Source organism: Homo sapiens, chromosome 1 (genome assembly GCF_000001405.40).
Source record: "Homo sapiens chromosome 1, GRCh38.p14 Primary Assembly".
Taxonomy (NCBI): Eukaryota; Metazoa; Chordata; class Mammalia; order Primates; family Hominidae; genus Homo; species Homo sapiens.
The window spans coordinates 46277462-46300774 of NC_000001.11; the positions used below are offsets into that span (position 1 = coordinate 46277462).

The 23313-nt window shown below is 46.3% G+C and overlaps 2 protein-coding genes across 5 annotated transcripts in view, besides 2 other annotated features; one reads left to right on the top strand and one right to left on the bottom strand.

The window, feature by feature from the left end:
• Positions 1-1012, top strand: part of RAD54L (RAD54 like) — a 30786-nt gene extending 29774 nt beyond the window's left edge. For all 3 annotated transcript variants that reach the window (NM_001142548.2, NM_001370766.1, NM_003579.4), the window contains 2 exons: positions 356-519; positions 611-1012. In NM_001142548.2, the coding sequence (NP_001136020.1) occupies positions 356-519; positions 611-821 (375 nt within the window). In that variant the 3' untranslated portion in view covers positions 822-1012. The remainder of the gene's footprint in view (positions 1-355; positions 520-610) is intronic.
• The window catches only part of LRRC41 (leucine rich repeat containing 41), a 26155-nt gene continuing 2842 nt past the window's right edge, over positions 1-23313 (bottom strand). Inside the window, exons 2-10 of one of the 2 annotated variants that reach the window (NM_006369.5) lie at positions 20823-20909; positions 20102-20172; positions 7901-9038; positions 3664-3924; positions 2935-3099; positions 2731-2829; positions 2031-2153; positions 1721-1796; positions 1-1623 (exon numbers count right to left, since the gene is read on the bottom strand). In NM_006369.5, the coding sequence (NP_006360.3) occupies positions 1404-1623; positions 1721-1796; positions 2031-2153; positions 2731-2829; positions 2935-3099; positions 3664-3924; positions 7901-9038; positions 20102-20172; positions 20823-20909 (2240 nt within the window). In that variant the 3' untranslated portion in view covers positions 1-1403. The other variant, XM_047431688.1, reaches the window with a different exon arrangement.
• Positions 7823-8447: an enhancer, noted in NCBI's record as "H3K27ac-H3K4me1 hESC enhancer chr1:46750956-46751580 (GRCh37/hg19 assembly coordinates)". NCBI's record gives its function as "activates a minimal SCP1, AML or CMV promoter by ChIP-STARR-seq in primed H9 embryonic stem cells {active_cell/tissue: H9 hESC(primed)}" and the evidence as "EXISTENCE:reporter gene assay evidence [ECO:0000049][PMID:30033119]".
• Positions 21124-21625: an enhancer, noted in NCBI's record as "NANOG hESC enhancer chr1:46764257-46764758 (GRCh37/hg19 assembly coordinates)". NCBI's record gives its function as "activates a minimal SCP1, AML or CMV promoter by ChIP-STARR-seq in primed H9 embryonic stem cells {active_cell/tissue: H9 hESC(primed)}" and the evidence as "EXISTENCE:reporter gene assay evidence [ECO:0000049][PMID:30033119]".

The following is a 23313-nucleotide window of genomic DNA, read 5'->3' on the forward strand; positions in this document are numbered from 1 at the left end:
TAGAATAGATACCTAAATGATATTTATTGAATGAGTTAGAGTTGGGCTTGGTGCAGAAATCTGAAGCTGCAGCAGACAAACCTCAGTTCACCCTGACGGGATTTAGCCAGGCCCTGGGACCCTTCATTAGTATAGAAAGTAGCCTGGGTGGGCAGACTATTCATGTCATGTTCTCAGGAGACAGACTGGGAAAATGGACCTCAGCTGAGTAGAGATAATGTTCTGGGACTCATACTTTTTATTCATCTCCTCTTCTCGGGTAGCTGTAGTTTCAACCCTTTGGTTTTCCTGCTCCCTTTTTATGAGGATGGCTAAGCGCTGTATCTTTTGACATTCCCCACCTCCTCTTCCCCAGGCAGGGACCATTGAGGAGAAGATCTTCCAGCGTCAGAGCCACAAGAAGGCACTGAGCAGCTGTGTGGTGGATGAGGAGCAGGATGTAGAGCGCCACTTCTCTCTGGGCGAGTTGAAGGAGCTGTTTATCCTGGATGAAGCTAGCCTCAGTGACACACATGACAGGTGGGGAAGTGCCCTAACCATTATCTCTAAGCTACCCACACAGTAGGGAGATGGGATCTGTAGTGACTTCAGCTGTGCCTTCTGTCCCTAGGTTGCACTGCCGACGTTGTGTCAACAGCCGTCAGATCCGGCCACCCCCTGATGGTTCTGACTGCACTTCAGACCTGGCAGGGTGGAACCACTGCACTGATAAGTGGGGGCTCCGGGATGAGGTACTCCAGGCTGCCTGGGATGCTGCCTCCACTGCCATCACCTTCGTCTTCCACCAGCGTTCTCATGAGGAGCAGCGGGGCCTCCGCTGATAACCAGCTGGTCTGGGTGTAGCTCTTAGAGGAAGGAGATAGGGAAAAGGGGCTCCTTGCTCCACAGGGCCCTGTTGAATTTTGTTCTCTGGGAGAAAATCATCAAGAAGGGCTGCATGATGTTTGCCCAAAATTTATTTTATAAGAAAAACTTTTTTGGTTAAAAAAAAGAATAAAGGTATGAAAGGGTTTGAGGCCTGAGAGCAGTGTGGTAAGCCCAGCAGGGAAGAAGCCCCCTATACTTCTCTAAAGCCTGGGTGCCTGCTTGAGGAGGGAAGGCAGGAACCCAGGGGCAGGGGAGGGGATCTCTTCAGCAATTATGATGACCACTGTAACCTCCTGGCCCAGGGTTCCCAGGATACTGAGTAAGGGGCCCAAAGACTATAAACCCAGCTGTGAGAATGCCTGTTTGCTGGGCCTCATCAAGGCCTCCAGGACCTCAGTGCAAGGGAAGAAGGAAAAAAGAGAAAAAAGGTGACAGAAAGAGAAAGATAGAACTGGTGGTTGGGGTTCTGGGCAGCCCATGCTTCAGCCCCTGCAAGCTGATGGTACCGAGCATGAGACTGTGAGGTACGGGCCCCATCACATGGTGCTAACATAATCTGCGAAGGCCTGGGATGAGTCCCATGAGTCGCTAACCACATGGCAGGTAGCCCGGAGCCGCCGGATGGCTTCCCTGGCTGTGACTGCATCCTGGTCCAGCCAGTTTTGGAAGAGGCGCAGGTGACCAAAGGCTCCACGGCCCCAGCGCTCCAGCCGCTTGGCGAACTCCAGAAGCCCATCTGGCTTGATGCAGTTGGAACTGGTAGGGTGAGATGGATTAGATATCCAGGAAGCAGTGAATTCCTGGTCTATATCTCTGTAGCCCCATCCCTTGTCTTGCCCCTCCCCTCATGTACCTGATGTCCAGCTGACAGAGAGAGGAGGATGAATCCTCTGAGAAAACATCTGCCAAGGCCAGCAGGCCAGCATTCCCTGGAGAGAAGGGGAGAACGCCTATCACCTCCACCCAAGAACAGGGGACAAGGGTATCCCAACCCAACTATGGCTGGCAGAACCAGCCCTGCTGGTTCCTGAAGCCCCAGCACAGAAATATCTGTATTCCAACTCCCACGTTCCCAGTGGAGAGGTCTTTGCCTTTATCCAGTGAGTTTTTAGGTCAAAGGCCTAGCTCCTTTCCCCTCTCCCTCCCCAGGGTCTGGCCCCCACCCAGGCGGTTCCCTGGCAGCCGGAGGCCCTTCAGTGTGGAGTTGCCCTTCATAGCAGCAACCATCTCAGGCAGAAATTGGGCTGGGCGCTTCTCAAACAGACGGCAGAAGGAGAAGGTAATCTCTGTCAAGAAAAATTATAGTAAATTCTGATGGCTGCATTAGGACTGGTGCTGCCCCTCCTGCCCCAGTTGGCCCTAGCAAGGGGTATTAACATTATAGAGGCCCAAAAAGAGGAAGGAATTTGTCTAGACTCCAAGCAAGGCTGGAACTAAATCAGAATCCAAACTAAAGACTGAACCTAAATGTTCCCTATAAGAAGGTTCTCTGCATGGACAATTCTCCATTCACTTCCTTCTTTCCCTAACACTGGCCACCCTCTATGCGGGGGTGGGGATCAGAGAAAAGTCTATGAGGGGAGCCTGGCACAGTACATTTATTTTGCCCCACCACCACCATTTTGTCCACCTCTGAAAGGTAAGAGCAACTTTTGGGTGAAGCACTCTAAAAGAGCGATTTCTCATGTTTAGTAGAGGAGGAATTGAGGTTGGGGCTTTTAGAAGGAAAATCATGCAGGTTCTATATCCATTTTATAGCTGAGGACACAAGGCCAAGAAAGGAACAGTGGTTTGCTCACTCAGATTATGGCAGAACCATAGTGAAGACCCAGGAAATGTCCAGGTTCTGAATAAGGAACTTACCTTGCAGAGTCAGATTCTGTAGCAAAAAGAGCACCTCGCTCTGACAGTCAGCGAGATTCATGTCATGGAAGCTCAGTCTTTTCAGGGCTAGGTTGTACTCTGGATAGGAGGCAGAGACCATGGACCATGGACCTTAGCTTTCCTAGAGAACAGTGCTAGGTCCCCACCTACTCCTCTCCCTTCACCATTCTGGCTGGGTCCTACCTTTGAGTGTTTGCAAAACAAGCCCAAAATCCTGGGGAGAGGCAAAGGTGGCACTATCCAGGGACAGCTGCTGCAGAGAACCCGAGGCCTTCAGAACGGAGCACAGCAGTGGGGCTGGCTGGGCTCCCCGTGGAAATCCCATCTCCAACTGCTCCAGGCAGTTTTCTGGATATGGTGGGGAAAGAAGATTCCAGCTGGCCATCTCTACCTCACTCCCATAGCAGGTCCCATCCTGTTCTTAAGGGATTCATCTAAAAAATTATTTATTCATTCACTTGTCGTTGAGTGCCTACCATATGTCAGCACTGTGCTAGATTCTAGGAATTGAGCACTAAATATGAGATTTAGTCCTTGCCCTTGTAGAAATTTTAGACCAGGAAGACAGGCTACCCAGACACAAGCAAATAAAGTATGCAGAGTGGTGGGATAGGAGACATACAAGAACTAAGGGAACATACAGCAGGGGAACTAATCCAGTCTAAAGATCAGTTCTTTTCCTTTTCTGGAGACCAAGCTGCCTTGGTCACTCTCTGCTGGTCTTATGGTGGTTTAGGCCCTGTCTAGCTCAAGAGTATCTTAGTGGTAGGCTCTAAAGGGGGGATAGGTTCCAGATAAGCCAGGAATGAGTGATAGAAGAGGTCCTTCCCCTTTCCCCATACGAATGCATCTGCACCTTTGTGTGGGGATACACGTGCGTGCACACACACAAACACACACACAGTGCTTCACCTGGTATCTCCTCATCGCCTATTATGTGGCTAGGGGGCCCTGCATTCCCTGGCACACCAGGGTTGTCCCGCTGGCTTGGGTGGTCAACACGAATAGAGAGGACCCGTAGCAGGGGCAGTGCTCGCACGATAGCACGTGTCAGCTCCAGGATGGGCAGTGGTGAGAACAGGTCACTGAGATGCAGGGCACGGAGGCGACATCCAGCCTGGCCTGACAGGGCCCGCAGGCTGTCTAGCAGGCGGAAGATGTTAGAGCCCAGGCCTATGGCAAGAAAGAGATTAAGTCAGAACCATGTGGGAGTGTCAGCAGGGGTAATATATTCAAATACAACTCCAAATACTTTTGGTTACTAGCAAATCTCTTGGGCTTTGGCTCAGCTTATTTAAACCCATTTGTCTTAACTACTCATCCATGTCTTGCTTTTTCCTTAGGTAACCAGCAAACTGAGGTCTGCTGTTTTGGGTTATGCCCACAAGAAGCACCAGTCAGGGCAGAGTCACAAAATTGAGAAGATACAATATGGTGAGGCAGCATGTGGCTACTAGCTGAATGACAGGCACAGACAGTAGCAGTTCTCTGGATTTCTGGGTTCTGAGTAGTTTTCTGAAGAAACTGGCCTTGAAGGAAGGAAGTTTTGGATAGAGGGAGAAGACATAGTCAAGAGTCCCAGCTAGCCGGGAGCGGTGGCTCACGCCTGTAATCCCAGCACTTTGGGAGGCCAAGGTGGGCAGATCACTTGAGGCCAGGAGTTCCAGACCAGCCTGGCCAACATGGTGAAACCCTGTCTCTACTAAAAATACAGAAATTAGCTGGGCTGGGTGGCACATGCCTGTAGTCCCAGCTACTCGGGAGGCTGAGGCAGGAGAATCACTTGAACCCAGGAGACGGAGGTTGCAGTGAGCTGAGATCACGCCACTGCACTCCGGCTTAGGTGAAAAAGCAAGACTGTCTCAAAAAAAAAAAAAAAATCACAGCTAGGAGAGTGCAAGGCATGAATGAGACGCTTGCTTGTTTGGCTACATGAGGCTCAGGAAACAGCTCTAGAGGGCAGGGCACTGGAGGCCACATTATGGAAAGGCAAAGGGATGGTTTAACCTAGACGCAATAGGGAGCACCTAAAAACTATGGAGAGTGACAGTGACCCAACTGGGATACTTAAAAGAATCAATGGGTGGGAATGGGGCAGGAAAAGATAACCAAATCCCACAGCATGGACTAGGATCCAGGAAGGTTGGTTGCTTAATGCCACAGGCAAATAATTCCTTGGACTATGCAGGCTCCTGTTCATTCATTCAACTACCCAGTGCCTACTAAATATCAAGTTTTTTGCTAGACACTAGTGAGCAGCACATTGCTTTTTTTTCTTACATAGCTTGATAATGCGATGGGAACTGGGGGAATAAAGTACTATGAAATTACAAAGGATGAGTACCTAGTCCAGCTTACATCAGTAAAGGCACTCCAGCTAAGTCCTAAAGAACATAAAGGGGACAGGCTAAAATTTAGGAAGAATGATTGTGGCAGAGGCAACTTGGCATATGTAGAGGCCTGAAGGAGAACAAAAAAATTTCATAATGGCTGGTGTGAGAGTGTGAAGGGGGGAAGCATTCAAGATACAACTATAGGCCAGGTGTGGTGGCTCACACCTATATAATCCCAGCACTTTGGGAGGCTGAGGTAGGCAGATCACCTGAGGTCGGGAGCCCAAGACCAGCCTGGCCAACATAGTGAAACCCCGTCTCTACTAAAAATACAAAAATTAGCTGGGCATGGTGGCATGTGCCTGTAATCCCAGCTACTGAGTCAGTAGAATTGCTTGGACCCGAGAGGCGGAGGTTGCAGTAAGCCAAGATTGCACCATTGCACTCCAGCCTGGGTGACAACAGAGACTCCCTGTCAAAAAAAAAAAAAAAAAAGATACAACTATAGAGATAACCAGGAGTAAGAATATGAATGACCACTAAGTAAAATTAAGCCATTGAAGGGTGTTTGCATAAATGAATGACAGGGTCATTTTTGACTGATTTTTTTAAAGAATCAAGACTGCATTTTTCAAAGGATGCTTGGGCTGCAGTGCAGATAATGGATTTGTATGGCAAGAGTAAGGAGTCCGGAGGAACTACTGAAATTAGTTCAGGTAGTGGGTAATGGTAGCTTGAATTAAGGATGTGGAGATAGAGAAATAAATGTATTTAACAAATTGTAAAGATAGGGCTGGGCTTAATGGCTCATGACTATAATCTCAGCACTGTAGGAGGCCGAGGTTGGTGGATCACTTGAGGCCAAGAGTTCGAGACCAGCCCGGCCTATATGGGGAAACCCTGTCCTTACTAAAAATATAAAAATGCATTCAAGTTGGATGTAATGAGTTGGGTGGGGTATTGTGGGTTATGAAGTTGTCATGTCTACTAGCTGGATAAATGGGTCTGGAAGTTCAAGAGAAAGATCTGGGGTAATGTCACATAATGGGGAGTCTTTAGCATAGTTGGCCTTTGAAACCACAGGAATGGATGAAATTGTCCAAGAAGCGTGCATAAAGTGGGAAAGCTCTGAGGAACTCTGAATAAACAGAGGAGGAGAAAACTTTTTTTTTTTTTTTGAGATGGAGTCTCACTCTGTTGCCCAGGTTAAAGTGCAGTAGTGCAGTGGCACGATCTCCAGTCACTGAGTAGCTGGGATTACAGGCGCCCACCATCACGCCTGGCTAATTTTTGTATTTTTAGTAGAGATGGGGTTTCACCATCTTGGCCAGGCTGGTCTTGAACTCCTGACCTCGTGATCCACCCACCTTGACCTCCCAAAGTGCTGGGATTACGGGCGTGAGCCACTGCGCCCGGCCAAGAAAACATTTTTTAAGGTAGTGAAAAAAAATTTAATGAACAGCAGTAAATCCTGCCAAGAAGAGTTACTGAAAAGTATACATTGGATCTAGTAACAAGGAGGACCCTGATGACATAGGTCCTTGCCAGTGCAGTGGTAGGGGTATAAGAGGCTGGAAGGGGCTGTGAGTAAGAGAAGTGGAAACAGTACAGATAACTAAGGTTGTGAAGAACAGGAGATAACAGTTTATTAATATGGCATAGAGGGAGGTGGTGGTGGCAGTTTTTGATGGAGACCTGTTAAAATGCTGATAGGAGAGAGACGGTGGAAAGGAGAGTAGCATAGTTGTTTGAAAGCATGAATCTGCAGTCTGGTTGCCTGGGTTTTGAATCCTAGCTCTATAATTGCTAGGTTATCCTGAGGAAGTCACTTGCCCTCATAGGGTTGTGAGGATTGTTAGATCAAATTATCAAGAATACTTAAAATATGCCAGACACATACTAAGCAGTATATAAAAATTAGTTTGAGAAACAAGCTTCCCTAAGAAGGTAGAATGCTTGTTTCTCAAACTGGTAATTTTTATATACTTTGTTGTGAAGCTCTATGCATCTAGAGCACAGGTGGGAGAATTAGCCTTAGAAAGGATGGTGGTCTCTTCTATTCTGGTAAAGAAGGATGAGTGCAGATGGAGAGTTTATAGGCTGCTTAGCAAGCTAAAGAAACTCATGTGTGATGGCTTCTATTTTCTCTGTGAAGTAGGTGAGGTCATCCCTGAGAAGGGAAAAGGAGAGTTTGGAAGTGGTAGGAATGGGAGCTGATGTTGCAAGCACAGTGAAGGTTCATACGAGGTTAGTGATCATATAGTAACACTGATTTGCATAGTTGTATGATTTGTCTCTAGCAGTGCTCAGCAACCTAGGCGGATTGCTGGATTTAGCCAGAGTTGAGGTTTTGCTAGCTGGTCACAAGCAGGAGGGAAATGAGGACTGAGGACTGCTTTGCAGGTTGTTGGTCTGATAAGAAATTGTGTCCCACACCTTGTCTGGACAGCTACTCTGATATGACTGGTGAGGTGGTGAGGTCAAACTCTAGCCCTGCCTGAGCATGCATATACTATACTGCTCCCACCTGCCCTTGGACTGCCTTCCATATCTAAAATGTATTCATTCTTCAGATTCCAGCTGGCTTGTCTCACTGCCCCTCAGGAACCCCTGCTTTCAACAACTAATCAAGTGTATAGACTTTATGTTCCTCTCTTCTAGCAATGACAGTCTCCCCTGCTATGAGGCATACAAGCCTTCCTCTCTAACCTCCTGATCATACCCCCAATTTGCCCCTCCCACCTCCCTAGAATTAGGCACACAGCTGGTGCTGCTAGGCAATCTAAGCCCAATCCCTGCCACTCCAGGGTGCTCACCATTGTAGGAGAGTGTGAGGCTCTCCAGTGACACCCAGGAGCTCAGCAGGTGGCATAGTGTCAGGGCTGCCTCTGTGGAGAGTGGAACTGTGAATAGCTCCAAGGTGGAGATGCTGCGGAATCTTTGTGAAGCTTCCAGTGCTGGAAGCCCCAGGCAGCTGGGATCTGATCCATCCAAAGCTCCACAAGCCACTTCCCCAATCTCCATCTCTTCGCCATCCTCCTTCTCGCCAGCCACAATAAAAACGAAGTCATACAGGTCTTCAGACTCTGCACCAGGCCCCTGACGGGTGCGAGCACCCTTCTTCCCTGCAGCTCGCTTGAAACGCTTTAGGGGCTTAGGCTGTGGGGCTGAGCTAGCTGGTGCCCGTTTGTATGAGGATGTAGAAGAAGAGGCAGAGGAGGTGGCTGCTGGAGCAGAAGGTGACCGCTTGGTGCCAGGAGCCTCATGGGAGGTGGCTGGGGGGTGCAGCTCCCTCTTAAGGTCTGTTCCGCCTGCTGTCAGGCTCTCCTGTGTGCTCCGGCGTGTTACCCGAGTGGCAGGTGCAGCTCTGGGCATCTGCTTGGCTTCACTCTTACGCCGGCTGGCCATCAGGGCTGCAGCACATCGCTCAGCAGCATCCCGGCGGGGCCGACGTGAGCCCAATAAGAGGGACCCTTCATCTCGGGATGGGGCCCGGCCTCGGGAGGCCTCTCCACAGAGGCGGCAGGGTGGGCCACCAGGCCCTGGTTGCCAGAAGCCAGCACTCATGGTGAGAATAAGGATGAAAAGGGCTGACTCAGGCACAGGCCAGGAGTATAGCGACACTTGACTGACAGCCCCATGGTGAATGAGCTGATGCAACAGCTGCCGAAGTGACTGCTGAGCAGCCACATCAGAGAACAGCAGGTGGCGGAACTTGAGAGTGTGCAGGGAGCTGGCCAGGGTCTCCAGAACCCTGCGGTTGGGCTCAGCCACCAGCTCGGTTGCACCCTGCAGCATGTTACAGATGGTGAGCTGTCGGACATGGCGGGAGCTGTGCAGAAGAGGTGAGAACCGCTGATCACAAAGACGCCTGTCAGAAGACACATCAATGGTCCCACGTAGAACATGGGAAAAAAAGGCCTCCATAAACTTGGCTCGCCAACATGTCACACTCTGAAACGCAGAAAACATGCCAGACAGCCATGATATATCCATGAAACTGTCCAAATTTCCCTCTCTTCCAATAGCACACTATTTACTGAGTCAGGCAACACTACAAATTCATTTAATCTTCACATCTCTGAGGTATGTATTATTATTAGCCCTATTTTACAGGTAAAACCGAGGCACAAAGAGGTGGCCACACAGGTAAGTGGTTGGATTATTTGAACCCTGGAAATCTGGTTCCAGAGACCATGCTTTTATTATAGTGTCTCCACTGAAACACTCACCCCTGTAAGTTCTTCCATGTTTGTTTCTAGAACCTTATCCCAATTTTTTTTTTCTTTTTAAGATAGAGTCTCACTTTGTAGCCTAGGCTGGAGTGCAGTGGTGTGATCTCAGCTCACTGCAACCTCTGCCTCCCAGGTTCAAGTGATTCTCGTGCCTCAGCCTCCAGAGAAGCTGGGATTACAGGCGCCCGCCACCACACCTGGCTAATTTTTGTATGTTTCATCATATTGACCAGGCTGGTCTTGAACTCTAGACCTCAAGTGTTCCGTCCGCCTTGGCCTCCCAAAGTGCTAGGATTACAGGTGTGAGTCACCGCACCTAGCCCCTTATCCCAACTTCATTTTTTTTTAGACGGAGTCTCACTCTGTCGCCCAGGCTGGAGTCCAGTGGCGTGATCTCGGCACACTGCAAGCTCTGCCGCCCGGGTTCACACCATTCACCTGCCTCAGCCTCCCGAGTAGCTGGGACTACAGGCACCCGCCACCACGCCAGGCTAATTTTTTGTATTTTTAGTAGAGATGGGGTTTCACCCTGTTAGCCAGGATGGTCTCGATCTCCTGACCTCATGATCCGCCCGCCTCGGCCTCCCAAAGTGCTGGGATTACAGGCGTGAGCCACCACGCCTGGCCTCCAACTTCTGATTCTTACCACCACCAGCCCCTTATCACCTCACACCTGACCACTAGCTTCCTGATTGCTTTCCCTGTCCCCAAAGTAGTGTTGTAAAACACTAATTACATCATACTGCTTTAAAACCCTAATGTCTCCCTACTGCCCTTCCACCCTCTGCCTGAGAAGCTTTATTTCCCACATCTTGCTTATGAGAATGCTTTGCTCTAGCCAAGCTGGTCACCCCACGGACTTGAACCTGCCTATGTCCTTTCCTACATCTACCAGAAATGTCTCCATTGCTGAATTAGACTTCCTGAAAGAACTTAGAAACATGTCATTTGAGATTCTTGTTGGGACTCCTCTGACACTCTGACTACTCAAGACTAAGAGGCTGGTATGTTGTCTCATGGTGTTGAGTCCCTTTGCCTGTGTACATGTCTTATCCCAGCCAGATTAGAAATTCTTAGAAAGCAGAAACCAAATCTTGATTTGTTTCTTCCAAGGCAACAGTTATTTATTTTGACGGATAGGAAATCTCATCAGACTATTCTGCACTTGATCTTAGCCAAAAGGCCGAGAAGCGATTCATCAGACTATTCTGATGTGTTTAATACAACTCTGAATGCAAGTGATTCTCAGCCTTTGGTGCACATCAGAATTCCCTGTGGAGCTTTTCTTCCCCAAAATTCATATACCAGACACCCAGACTTGGTGATTCTATGTTACATCTGAGGTAAGGTCAAGACATCTTTATTGTTTGAACCATCCCAGATGTTTCTGATGTATATCAGAGGTTAGGAATTACTGCTGATCCAGAAGGGCACACCAAGACAAAGACAGGTACCAGACCCCAAAGTTTCTAATTTAAGATGATCCCTAAGTCATCTCAGGGGCAGTAGAAAGTCAGGTCCCAGCTCTTTCACTATACTCTGGACTTCTCTGAACCTCTTCCCTCATCTGCAAAATGTAGATAACCTGCTTCACAGGATTGTTGTGAAGATCAAAATGAAGTAGTACAAATTAAAGCACTTTGTAAACTGTAAGATATAAAAAATGTTACTGCTGCCACTGCTATTAGCCTAGCTGGGATATGAAATGGAGGCAGAGCCTGTTAAGCATGGTGCTCATTCAGACTAAAGCCAAGGCTGTGGGGGCCTGAGGTTCCCCAAGACTAAAACATTTCTTTGATCCTTACCCTGCCTCCATGCATTCCTCCATACTGGAGTGACTCTCAGTTCCTATTTGAGGTTCTTAGAAGGAACTAGGCCTCTGCTGTCCTCAAGCAAAAGTGTCATTCCTGTTGCCTTAGCTATTTCCCCAGACTCCACTTACTGTGGTAATAGTTAGGAATGACTTCCTGCTTGAAATAACTGCATAGCAGCAACACAGAAAGGCCTTGCTCATCAGCAGCAGGACATTAAGAGCAGGAAAAACAATACCTGGCAACCAAATCTCTGCTCAACTTTGAGTGAAGGCAAAGAAGGTATCCTTCGGTCCTACCTCACACTAGCACTTTTCCTACAGATTTGCTGGCCCACACCCAGTCTTGAAAAACACTTGCAGGTAACCTTAGCAAGGCTTCAGCTTTATAAGTGAGTGAGTCAGATGGTTATTACAATATCTGTGCCTAAAATATGGACAAAGATGGTGAGTCAAGATATTGTGGCTGTTTCTGGCTATAAGAGGCACAGGGGAAATATAGGTTAGATAGGTAAATACTGGACTTTTTCAGACATGTTAATGGTTGATGAAGACAATGGGAGACAGAATATTTGGAACACCCCAGACACAACTGCAGTGAGCAGCATGACACAGTGATCAGGAACATGCACTCCAGAAGCAGACTGCTTCAACCTGAATCTGGGTCTGCCATTCACTAACTGTAATTTAGGCAAGTCATTTCACCTCTTTCTGCCTTAGTTTCATCATCTATAAAGTGGAAGATCACTATACTGACATCACAGCATTTTTGTGACAGTTAAATGAGTAAAGTTATGACAGCTCTCAGTGGCTTCTTTCTCACAAATTAACGTACGAGCAGACAAGAGATCATGAAGTTTTATTCCATCACCACTCTTAAGAATCTATGGGCCGGGCGCGGTGGCTCACACCTGTAATCCCAGCACTTTGGGAGGCCGAGGCGGGGGGGATCACAAGGTCAGGAGATCGAGGCCATCCTGGCTAACACGGTGAAACCCTGTCTCTACTAAAATACAAAAAATTCGCCGGGCGAGGTGGCGGGTGCCTGTAGTCCTGGCTACTCAGGAGGCTGAGGCAGGAGAATGGCGTGAACCCGGGAGGCGGAGCTTGCAGTGAGCTGAGATCGCGCCACTGCACTCCAGCCTGGGCGATAGAGCAAGACTCCGTCTCCAAAAAAAAAAGGAGTCTATGCTAAAATTCGAAGCTGAGAGATGCTTGAGATCTAGTCCAGACCACTCATTTTATGGACTCGTATGCTATCACGATGCAAAGTGATTTAGTACTTTGTTTTCTGTGAGGGTAAGGGAAATGAGGCATGATCAATGAGGTGAAGTGATGTTTGCCCAACAACACAATCCTTGGCCCATCCTCAGTGGGCTGGTAGGGGAAGAGGAAGTATTTGTACAAACTAGGGAGGGCTAAACATCTTGTGCTAACTTGTTAGAGCCAACAATATTCAGAAACTATATTTTGTTCATTATTTTGCTGATACCAGAAATACTGTGTGTGGATAGAGAAGCAAATGAAAAATCATGGACGAGGCATGGTGACTCATGCATGTAATCGCAGTACTTGGGGATGCCAAGGTGGGCAGATTGCTTGAGTCCATGAGTTTGTGATCAGCCTGGGCAATGTGACAAAACCCTATCTCTACTAAAAATAGAAAAAATGTAGCTGGGCATAGTGGTGCATGCCTGTAATCCAGCTACTTGGGAGGCTGAGGTGGGAGGATCGCCTGAGCCTGGGAGGTTGAGGCTGCAGTGAGCTAAGATCGTGCCACTGCACTTCAGCCTGGGCAACTGGAGTGAGACCGTCTCAAAAGTGTAAACTAACTCTGGAGTATTTACATATATGAGAGTACCTATATATATTTGTTTTTACAACATTGAGACAATTCTGAACAGTTTCAAATGCTGGGCTTTTAAAACATACCATGTATTCAAATATTTTTAGAATATTTTATTTTGAAAATGTGTACCATATGTAATAATACTTGCTGTATTTAATATTTCCATTGTTTCTAGCTTTTTTTTTTTTTTTTCCTCTGTCGCCCTGGTCTGGGCTGGAGTGCAGTGGTACAATATTAGCTCACTGAAACCTCTGCCTCCCGGGTTCAAGCAATTCTTGTGCCTCAGCCTTCCAAGTAGCTGAGACTACAGGCACACAACACCATGTCCAGCTAATTTTTTGGTATTTTTTAGTAGACAGGGTTTCGCCATGTTGGCCAGGCTGGTCTCAAACTCCTGAGCTCAGGTGATCCACCTGCCTTGGCCTCCCAAAGTGTTGGGATTACAGGCGTAAGCCACCATGCCCGGCCTGTTTCTAGTTTTTTTTTTTTTTTTTTTTTTTTTTTTAAGACATTCCTGCTCTGTTGCCCAGGCTGGAGTACAGTGGCACGATCTCGGCTCACTGCAACCTCCATCTCCCAGGTTCAAGCTATTCTCCTGCCTCAGTCTCCCAAGTAGCTGGGATTACAGGCACGTGCCACCACACCCAAATAAATTTTGTATTTTTGGTAGAGATGGGGTTTCGCCATGTTGGCCAGGCTGGTCTTGAACTCCTGACCTCAAGTGATCCGCCGCCTTGGCCTCCCAAAGTGCTGGGATTACAGGTATGAGCCACAGTGCCTGACCCTGTTACTAGCTTTTTTATATTAAACTCTTCTGTAATAAACATCTGGAAATAAATCTTCATGAGTATCTCAATTTTTATATACTATAAATTCTAAGGAGTAGAACTTATAGCCAAATTATTTTTTTAAGAGACAGGGTCTTGTCCCATCACCCAGGGCTGCAGTGCAGTGGTGAGATCATAGCTCACTGTAGCCTTGAATCCTGGGGCTCATGCAATCTTCCTGCCTTAGCCTCCCAAGTAGTAGGGACTATAGACGCATGCCACTATGCACAGCTAATTTTTAAATTTTTTCTGTAGAGATAAGGTCTCACTGTGTTGCCCCAGCTGGTTTTTTTTTTTTTTTTTTTTTTTTTGAGATGGAGTCTTGCTCTGTCGCCCAGGCTGGAGTGCAATGGCACAATCTTGGCTCACTGCAACCTCCACCTCCCAGGCTCAAGTGATTCTCCTGCCTCAGCCTCTTGAGTAGCTGGGACTACAGGCATGCGCCACCACGCCCGGCTAATTTTTGTATTTTTAGTAGAGACGGGGTTTCACCATATTGGCCAGGCTGGTCTTGAACTCCTGACCTCAGGTGATCCACCTGCCTCGGCCTCTCAAAGTGCTGGGATTACAGGTGGGAGCCACCACGCCCAGCCTAAATTTTCTGGGGAGGAGAGGGTCTCTGTCAGCCAGGCTGGAGTGCAGTGGTGCTATTATAGTTCACTGCAGCCTCAACCTCCTGGGCTCAAGTGATCCTCCCACCTTAGCTTACCAATTAGCTGGGAGGTACATGCCAACACGCCCAGCTAATTTTTAAAAATTATTGCAGGCCGGCCACAGTGGCTTATACCTATAATCCCAGCACTTTGGGAGGCCAAGGTGGGTGGATCACTTGATGTCAGGAGTTCGAGACCAGCCTGGCCAATGTGGTGAAACCTTGTCTCTACTAAAAATACAAAAAGTAGCCGAGCTGATGGGCGCCTGTAATCTCAGCTACTTGGGCCAAGATCATACCACTGCACTCCAGCCTGGGTGACAGAGAGAGACTCTGTCTCAAAAAAAAAAAAAAATTATTGTAGAGATGGGGTTTCCCTGTGTTGCCCAGACTGGTCTCGAATTCATGGGCTCAAGTGATCCTCTTGCCTTGGTGTTCTAAAGTCTGGAATTACAGGTAAGAGCCACCACATCCAGCCAGCCTAGATATTTTAAAGTCTGAACAAATATTACCAGATTGCCTACCAAGAAAGTTACAACAATTTCTGTTCCCTCCAATAGCATAGTAAAATGCAAATTTCGCCATGGCCAAACCTAGGCATTACCTTTGCGATGAAAACCAAATCAAAACAAGACTTTACTAAACTAAGAGGTGAAATAGGGATTTTACTTTCTCACTTTTATCATGAGACAACATTTTTCACTTTACTGGGGATTTTTGTGTATTTCATGATGTGTCCAAATCCTTACTCATTTTATTTTACTGGGATATTTGTCTTTTTATTTTGTGTCCCTTTGTTTTGCAAATATTGTTGCAAATGTTCTTTCCCAGTGTATTTACCTTTTAAAATTTGGTTATGGTGTTGGCATTTTCATTTTTTTAATTTAATCAATACAAAGTCCTGAAGATAGTGTTAGCATTTTATGTGGTTAAATATGTCTGTATTTTCTTTCTTGGTTCTGTGCATTTAATAATTAGCACTCTCGGCTGGGCACGGTGGCTCACGCCTATAATCCCAGCACTTTGGGAGACCGAGGCGGGTGGATCACGAGGTCAAGAGATGGAGACCATCCTGGCCAACATGGTGAAACCTCATCTCTACTAAAAATGCAAAAATTAGCTGGGCATGGTGGCACGCACTTGTAGTCCCAGCTACTCGGGAGGCTGAGGCAGGAGAATCACTTGAACCCGGGAGGCAGAGGTTGCAGTGAGCTGAGATCGCACCACTGCACTCCAGCCTGGCGACAGAGCGAGATTTCGTCTCAAAAAAAAAAAAAAATTAGTACTCTCTCCATCCTGAGATTAGGATGGTCACTTTTATTATTTCTTTAGTTGTTTTGTGCTCTTTTTTAAGACAGGTTATGACACTGGAGTGCAGTGTCATTATCATTGCTCACTGCAGCCTTGACCCCTGACGCTCAATTGATCCTCCTGCCTCAGCCTCCCTAATAGCTGGGACTAGAGGCGCACACCAGCACCCCCAGCTAACTTTTGTATTTTTTGTAGAGACAAGGTGTCGTCATGTTGCCCAGGCTGTTCTTGAACTCCTGGGCTCAAGCAATCTGACCACCTTGGCATCCCAACGTTTTTCTGGGATTGTAGGCATGAGCCATCACACCCGGCCTGATTTGTGCTTTTACTTTTTTTTGTTTATTGGTTTTATTATTTTTGGAGACAGAGTCTCACTCTCACCCAGGCTGGAGTGCAATGGAGCGATCTAGTCTTACTGCAACCTCTGCCTCTTGGGTTCAAGTGATTCTCATGCCTCAGCCTCCCAAGGAGCTTGGATTACAGGTGTGTGCCACCACGCCCGGCTAATTTTTGTATTTTTATTTTGTTTTGTTGTTGTTGTTGTTGTTTTCTGAGTCAGAGTCTCACTATGTCACCGAGGCTGGAGTGCAGTGGTGCCATCTCGGCTCATTTTAACCTCTGCCTCCTGGGTTCAAGCAATTCTGCCTCAGCCTCCCAAGTAGTAATCCCAGAGTAGCTGGGATTACAGGCATGCACTACCATGCCTGATTTTCAGTAGAGACAGGGTTTCACCATATGCACCAGGCTGGTCTCAACTCCTGACCTCAAGTATCTGCCCACCTCAGCCTCCCAAAGTGCTGGGATTACAGGTGTGAGCCACCACACCTGCCTGTTGGTTTTATTCTTTTTTAAATTATTTTTTTCTATTCTTTGGTGTTGAAACTTTTTTGTTGTTTTTGTTTTAAGACAAGTTCTGGCTCTATTGCCCAGGCTGGAGTGCGATGGTGTGATCTCGGCTCAGTGCAACCTCTGTCTCCTGGGCTCCCTCCCACCTCAGCCTCCTGAGTAGCTGGGACTACAGGTGCACAACACCACAACAGGATAATTTTTCTATTTTTTGTAGAGACGGGGTTTCTCCATGTTGCCCAGGTTGGTCTCAAACTCGTAAGCTCAAGCAATCCACCCACCTTGGCCTCCCAAAGTGCTGGGATTACAGGTGTGAGCTACCGCGCCCAGCCCTTTCTTTCTTTTTTTAAGAGACGTGGTTTTGCACTGTCCCCCAGGCTGGAATGTAGTGGCATGATCACAGCCTCCAACTCCTAGGCTCAAGCTATTCCTCTCACTTCAGCCTCTGGAGTAGCTGGGATTATAGATGTCAGTCACTGTACCCGACTCTTGTGCCTTTACTTTTTACAACTAATTCTTTTTTTTTTTTTTTTTTTTGAGTCGGAGTCTTGCTCTGTTGCCCAGGCTGGAGTGCAGTGATGTGATCTTGGCTCACTGCAACCTCTGCCTCCTGGGTTCAAGCAATTCTCCTGCCTCAGCCTCTTGAGTAGCTGGAACTAAAGGCACGTGCCACCACGCCCAGCTAATTTTTGTATTTTCAGTAGAGACAGGGTTTCACCATGTTGGCCAGGCTGGTCTTGAACTCCTGATTTCGTGATCCACCCGCGTTGGCCTCTCAAAGTGCTGGCATTATAGGTGTGAGCCACTGTGCCCGGCCACAATTTATTGTTTATACAAAAGTCATTAGAGTATACTGTAAAGTGAGGCTCTAACTTAACTTTTTCCAAATAGCTAACCAATTGCTAGAGAATAATTTATTGGGTAAATCTTAATTTATTCATTGCTTTTTCTCCAGAGTATCTATTCTATTATACAGATCTTTTTTTATTTGTTAGTTTTTTGAGACAGGGTCTCTCTCCTGTTGCCCAGGCTGGAGTACAGTGGTGCGATCTTGGCTCACTGCAGCCTCGACTTCCCAGGCTCAGGTGATCCTCCTACCTTGGTCTCCCGAGTATCTGGGACTACAGGCATGTGCCACCATGCCCAGCCAGTTCTTTGTATTTTTAGTAGAGACAAAGTCTTGCCATGTTGCCCAGGCTGGCCTTGAGCTCCTGGGTTCAAGTGATCCACCTGCCTCAGCCTCCCAAAGTGCTAAGATTACAGGTGTGAGCCACCGTGCCTGACCTTACAGATCTCTTTATATACCCCAGTACTACACAGTTTGAAATACTATTGCTTTATAAGCATTCTATATTTATCTTGTTCACCATTGTATCCCTGGAACCTAGCATAATGCATGGAACTGAGCAGGCACTGAATAACTGTTTGTGACTTATGAGCTGAAGGCTATTGTCATGCAAAAGTGGGAAGCGGAAAGACACCCTCTGGAATGGACATGCTCCAAGTTAGGACCTCTGCCTAACTGACTGTTGGGCCACCAAGCCTGGGGCCTCTAAATGCTCTGAAATGCTTTGAGCCAAGAAGACAGAAAGCTTTCTCCAAGAGAAAAATATAATCTTTATCACTTGCTGGTCAACTCTAGTGCTTGTGAAATACTGGAACAAAGTGAATCTGATGTTTCCTTAAAGATAGCAAAAAGCAGTTACTGTTTTCTAATATTCTTGAGTCTGCTTCTCTTCCTCATAAGGTCTGTTGTCCTCATTCTGAACGCCAAGGGTTGCAGTCCAGATTTGGAAGTGAATAAGCCGAAGGAGATGGGGTTCAATGTTACTGAACCCAGTGCATCCCCAGAAATTAAATCTCCAATTCCTGACATTAGCTTTTTTTCCACCTGTTATTTGGCCTCATTCACCATAGAAGGCCCAGTTCAAATACTACTTCCTAGGAAAGACTTTCTTATTCTCTTCTCTCTCAACCTTCTTACTATCCTCTATTACACCACTTATCCTATCATATGTGATCTATTTGTAGATTTCCCTATTAAACTGGTAGGTCCTTGCCGGGCGAGGTGGCTCACGCCTGTAATCCCAGCACTTTTGGAGGCCGAGGTGGGTGGATCAACTGAGGTCAGGAGTTCGAGACCAGCCTGACCAACATGGAGAAACCCTGTCTCTATTAAAAATACAAAAAAATTAGCTGGGTGTGGTGGCGCATGCCTGTAATCCCAGCTACTTGGGAGGCTGAGGCAGGAGAATTGCTTGAACCCGGGAGGCAGAGGTTGCAGTGAGCCAAGATTGCGCCATTGCACTCCGGCGTGGACAACAAGGGCAAAACTCCGTCTCAAACAAAACAAAACAAAACAAAACAAAACAAAACTGTTAGGTCTTTAAGATTAGAGGCTGCATCTATTCTTCCAATATCTAGTGTAAGATCTGGTACCTGGTTAAGTTTCAGTAAATGTTTATTGAATTAAATCTACCCCATCACCTAGTTATGGGGCAGCAAAAGAAACTGCTTAAATGAGAGCTCCAGTGATTTATATCTGTATCAGTGAATAATAGAATCTCAGGTCTAAAAGGAGCTCTAAAAGTCATCTTGTGCAACCCCTTTTACAATGCTGAATCCCCTGCAGAACACCCTAGTGTCAAGGAGTTACACAGACTCCATTTGAACTTAGTGATGGGAAGTTTATTACCTCTAGAATTAGCTTGTTTCATAAGCTCAGGGTTTAAGCTTTACGTAAACTTCAGGTTAGCAAAAATGTATCTTCCATTAGCTTCCATCCAGAACAAGTCTATTAATCCCTCCTTCATGTGACAGCCATTCATATATTTCAAGATGGGTCATGTTTCCCAAGTCTTCTCTTTTTCAGGAAAAACATCTCCAGTTGTCCCAATGTGACTCACATAATGTGGCTTTGACTTTCTCCAATCTCCACGGGTAGCCTGACCATTGCAGAGCTAGGCAGGACTGTTGTCCACCTTGTCCTTCAGCCTATACTATATTTACATTAGTTCACACAGCTCAAGGTATAGTCGTTATAAGTGGCTTCAACACATTGTTGACTAAACTCCCTTAATCTTTTTTATACAAGCTGTTACTAATCATACTCCTTTATCCCTCATCCCGATACCATGCAATTGGAACTTTTAAAACTCATTGAAGTATTGGTGTATTCTATTAAATTTCATTTTGTTAGATTTGACCACTGCACCAACACCATCAAGAACTCTAGGAATCCTGGCTCTGCCATCCATTGTGATCACTAACTTTCCCTGTTTTGTGTCCCCTGCAAATACAGTGAGCAAGCAATTCAGTGACAAATGCCAAATGGACCAAAACCTTGTGACAAGCCATCAGAGCCCTCCTCCCAAATCCATTCCATCATTGCCTCTGCACTTTATCAGTACCCAGCTTGTGTTTGTGTGCTATTCCTGCTTTTACCATGCAAAATCAGGCTAGCATTCTACCTGATACCTTAACTTACTTCCAAACTGGAAGGCCTTGTCTTCATCAGTTCATCCCAGAGTCGGCGCCAGATGGCCTGAGTTGAGAGGCCTGTAAGGAGAAATATCACACTTGGCTGCTTACTGGCCACCATGAGTAAAGTACATCAACCTTTCATGTTGTCTTCTGGGTTCACAGGAGCAATATGGCAGAGTGATTAAGGGCACTGGCTCTAAAGACAGATTGCCTGGGTGTGAATATCAGCAAACTACACTCCAGCTATGTGACTTTGCGCAAGTTACTTAATTTCTCTGTGGTTCAGTCTCCTCATCTGTAAAATGTTAATAACAGCTATTTCATAGGGTTGTTGAAAGGATTAGGGTAAATGAGTTTCTGTGGGTAAAGTGCCTAGGACAATGCTTGACACATTAGGGTTAAATGTTACCTGTTAACAGATGTGTCTAATGAGGGGAGGAAGCTTGGTAAAATAGAGAAACTAAGATTCACAAGATATGGGTTGTTGTTCTGGCTTTGCTATTAATTGTGGTGTGCCTGTGTCTCACTTTTATCAGTATAATAAAGATCATATACTTGGCTTTGTGTTTCATAGGACACTGAGGAATGAGGAAGAAAAATAGGTGTGAAGGTACTTTTTGAAAAGCACGAAGTTCTAGCAGGTATCAGGGGTAATATTTACCGGAAGAACATTATGGTGCCTTGCTCATAATCATTGACTGAGAAAGAGACAGAAAGATACTCACCTTTCTTGAGGGCAGTTTCCTCAATCCTCTCCAAGTAATATATATTGAGCAGAGGTAGGATGCTTTGAAGTATTGGGCCTGGGAGGGCTACAAAAATCAAAACAAAAGTTTACTTTTCCTCCCCTCCCCCTCCCACCCAAGAGGTTTCCAAGCATTATTTATTCTACTGGAAAGGAAAATGGAAGGGTAGACTTCTCATTTGACAAATGGAACCTCTAGAAGCTAATCTAGATCTGTTCCAAACTCTAGTCCACTTATCTTCAGCCACTCAGTTGGAAGCTGGAATTTCAGGGGCAAGGGTGAGATCATCCCACAAAACAAGCTGACATGCTAAATGAGCTTGACATGCTTATTTAGGAGCTGGTCAGTTCACTTCTGCCCAAGCAAAATGAACCATTTGGCATTGAAAAGGACCTACTGAATATGTGTGATAAAAGGTCTTTCATAATCTGCCCTGCTAGTATCAGCTCCCTGCTTTGCCTCCTACATTTCAGCCACACTTAACTACTTTTTCATTTACCTAACATATTATGCCGCTTTCTGCCCCTGTACCTTTGTCATGCTGTTCTTTCCAATAGGAATGTCCTTTGTCATGCTGTTCTAATAGGAATGTCGTTGCCACTTTCAGTATATCAACTACTCATCTTTCAAGTATCACATGCCCTTTATTAAGTCTTTCCTGAATTCCTTTTCCATTTTTCCAGATTAACCACTACCATCCTTTGGGCTACTGCTATATTCTGAACTAGTACTTTCCTATGAAGAATAGAAACAATTCGTGTCTCTAAAGTCAATATATCTTAAAAACAAAACCTGCTCTTGCCAACTTCTCTAGTTCTAAGAGCTGTTATAGTATAGTGTCTAAAGGGTTTGGCCTCTAGAGTAGGACAAATCTGAGTGCAATCCTAACTACTTAGTTAAATGTGAATCCTTGGACAAATTATTTAAGCCTCTTTAAGCCTTAGTTTCTTCAACTGGAAAAAAATGGAGGCTGGGCACAGTGGTTCACACCTGTAATCCCAGCACTTTGGGAGGCTAAGAGGATCGCTTAAGCCCAGGAGTTCGAGGCTACAGTGAGCTATGATCACACCACTGTACTTGAGCCCAGGTGACACAGTGAGAACCCTATCTCAAAACAAAACAAAAATTAGCAGAGTGTGATGGTGTGCACCTGTGGTCACAGCTACTTGGGAGGCTAAGGTGGGAGGATGGCTGGAGCCCAGGAGGTTGAGGCTGAAGTGAGCTGTGCTTAGACCACTGCACTCCAGCCTGGATGACAGAGCAAGACCCTGCCTCAAAAAATAAAAAATAGGTGGGATGCAATGGTTCACACCTGTAATACCAGCACTTTGGGAGGCCAAGGCGGGCAGATCACTTGAGGTCAGGAGTTTGAGACCAGCCTGACCAACATGGTGAAACCCCATCTCTACTAAAAATACAAAAATTAGCCAGGTGTAATGATGCACGCCTGTAATCCCAGCTACTTGGGAGGCTGAGGCACAAGAATCACTTGAACTCAGGAGGTAGAGACTGCAGTGAGCCGAGATGGCGCCACTGCACTTCAGCCTGGGCGACAGAGCAAGACTCTGTCTCACAAATAAAATAAAATAAAATAAAATAAAATGGAGATAACAGTAATTAACTCATGACATTGTTGTGAAGATCATGCTTATAATCTGTTTAAAACAATGCCCAGCCATAATAAGCTCGCTAAATGTTGGTGGTTATTTTTATCCTGTCAATGGCATCTCTGTCCAATCAAGAACAAGTCAAACTCACACCTGTAATTCCTGTAATCTTTGGAGGTCAGAGGTAGGGGGCATTGCTTAAGTCCAGGAGTTTGAGACTAGCCTGGGCAACATGGCAAAACCCCATCTCTACCAAAAATACAAAAAAAAATTAGCTGGGTGTTGTGGGGCACGCCTGTGGTCCCAGCTACTCGAGAGGCTGAGATGGGAGAATTGCTTGAGCCCAGAAGACAGAGGTGGCAGTGAGCTGATATCATGCCACTGCACTGCAGCCTGGGTGACAGAGTGAGACCCCATCTCAAAGAAAAAGAACAAGTCTAAGATCTTGGAGTATACCAAAACTTCCGCTCCAGGGTCTCTTTTTATCTTTACTTACAGAATAACTGAATCTTGACATCCAAGAATCTAGTATAATTATTTGTACATAGTAGGTCCTCGATGTACGGGCTGAATGAAAGTGTTAATTCCCTATGCTTTTACACGAATGTAGTCCACATCACCTTTCATCTGGTCTATTACAACAGCCTAACTGCTCTCCTTCACTTCAGTCTCCATCCAGTCCCTCTTCATCCTGCTCTTGGTGATGACACTACCCTCTTCAAAACCCTTGGAGGTCTCTCTGCTGCATTCATGATAAAGTCCAAACTCCATATCCTGGTATTCAAGGTATAATATACCTTATTTTAAAGTTTCCTCATTGTACCCTTTCCTGCTGCCTCTATACACCCGCTGCCCCAACTCCT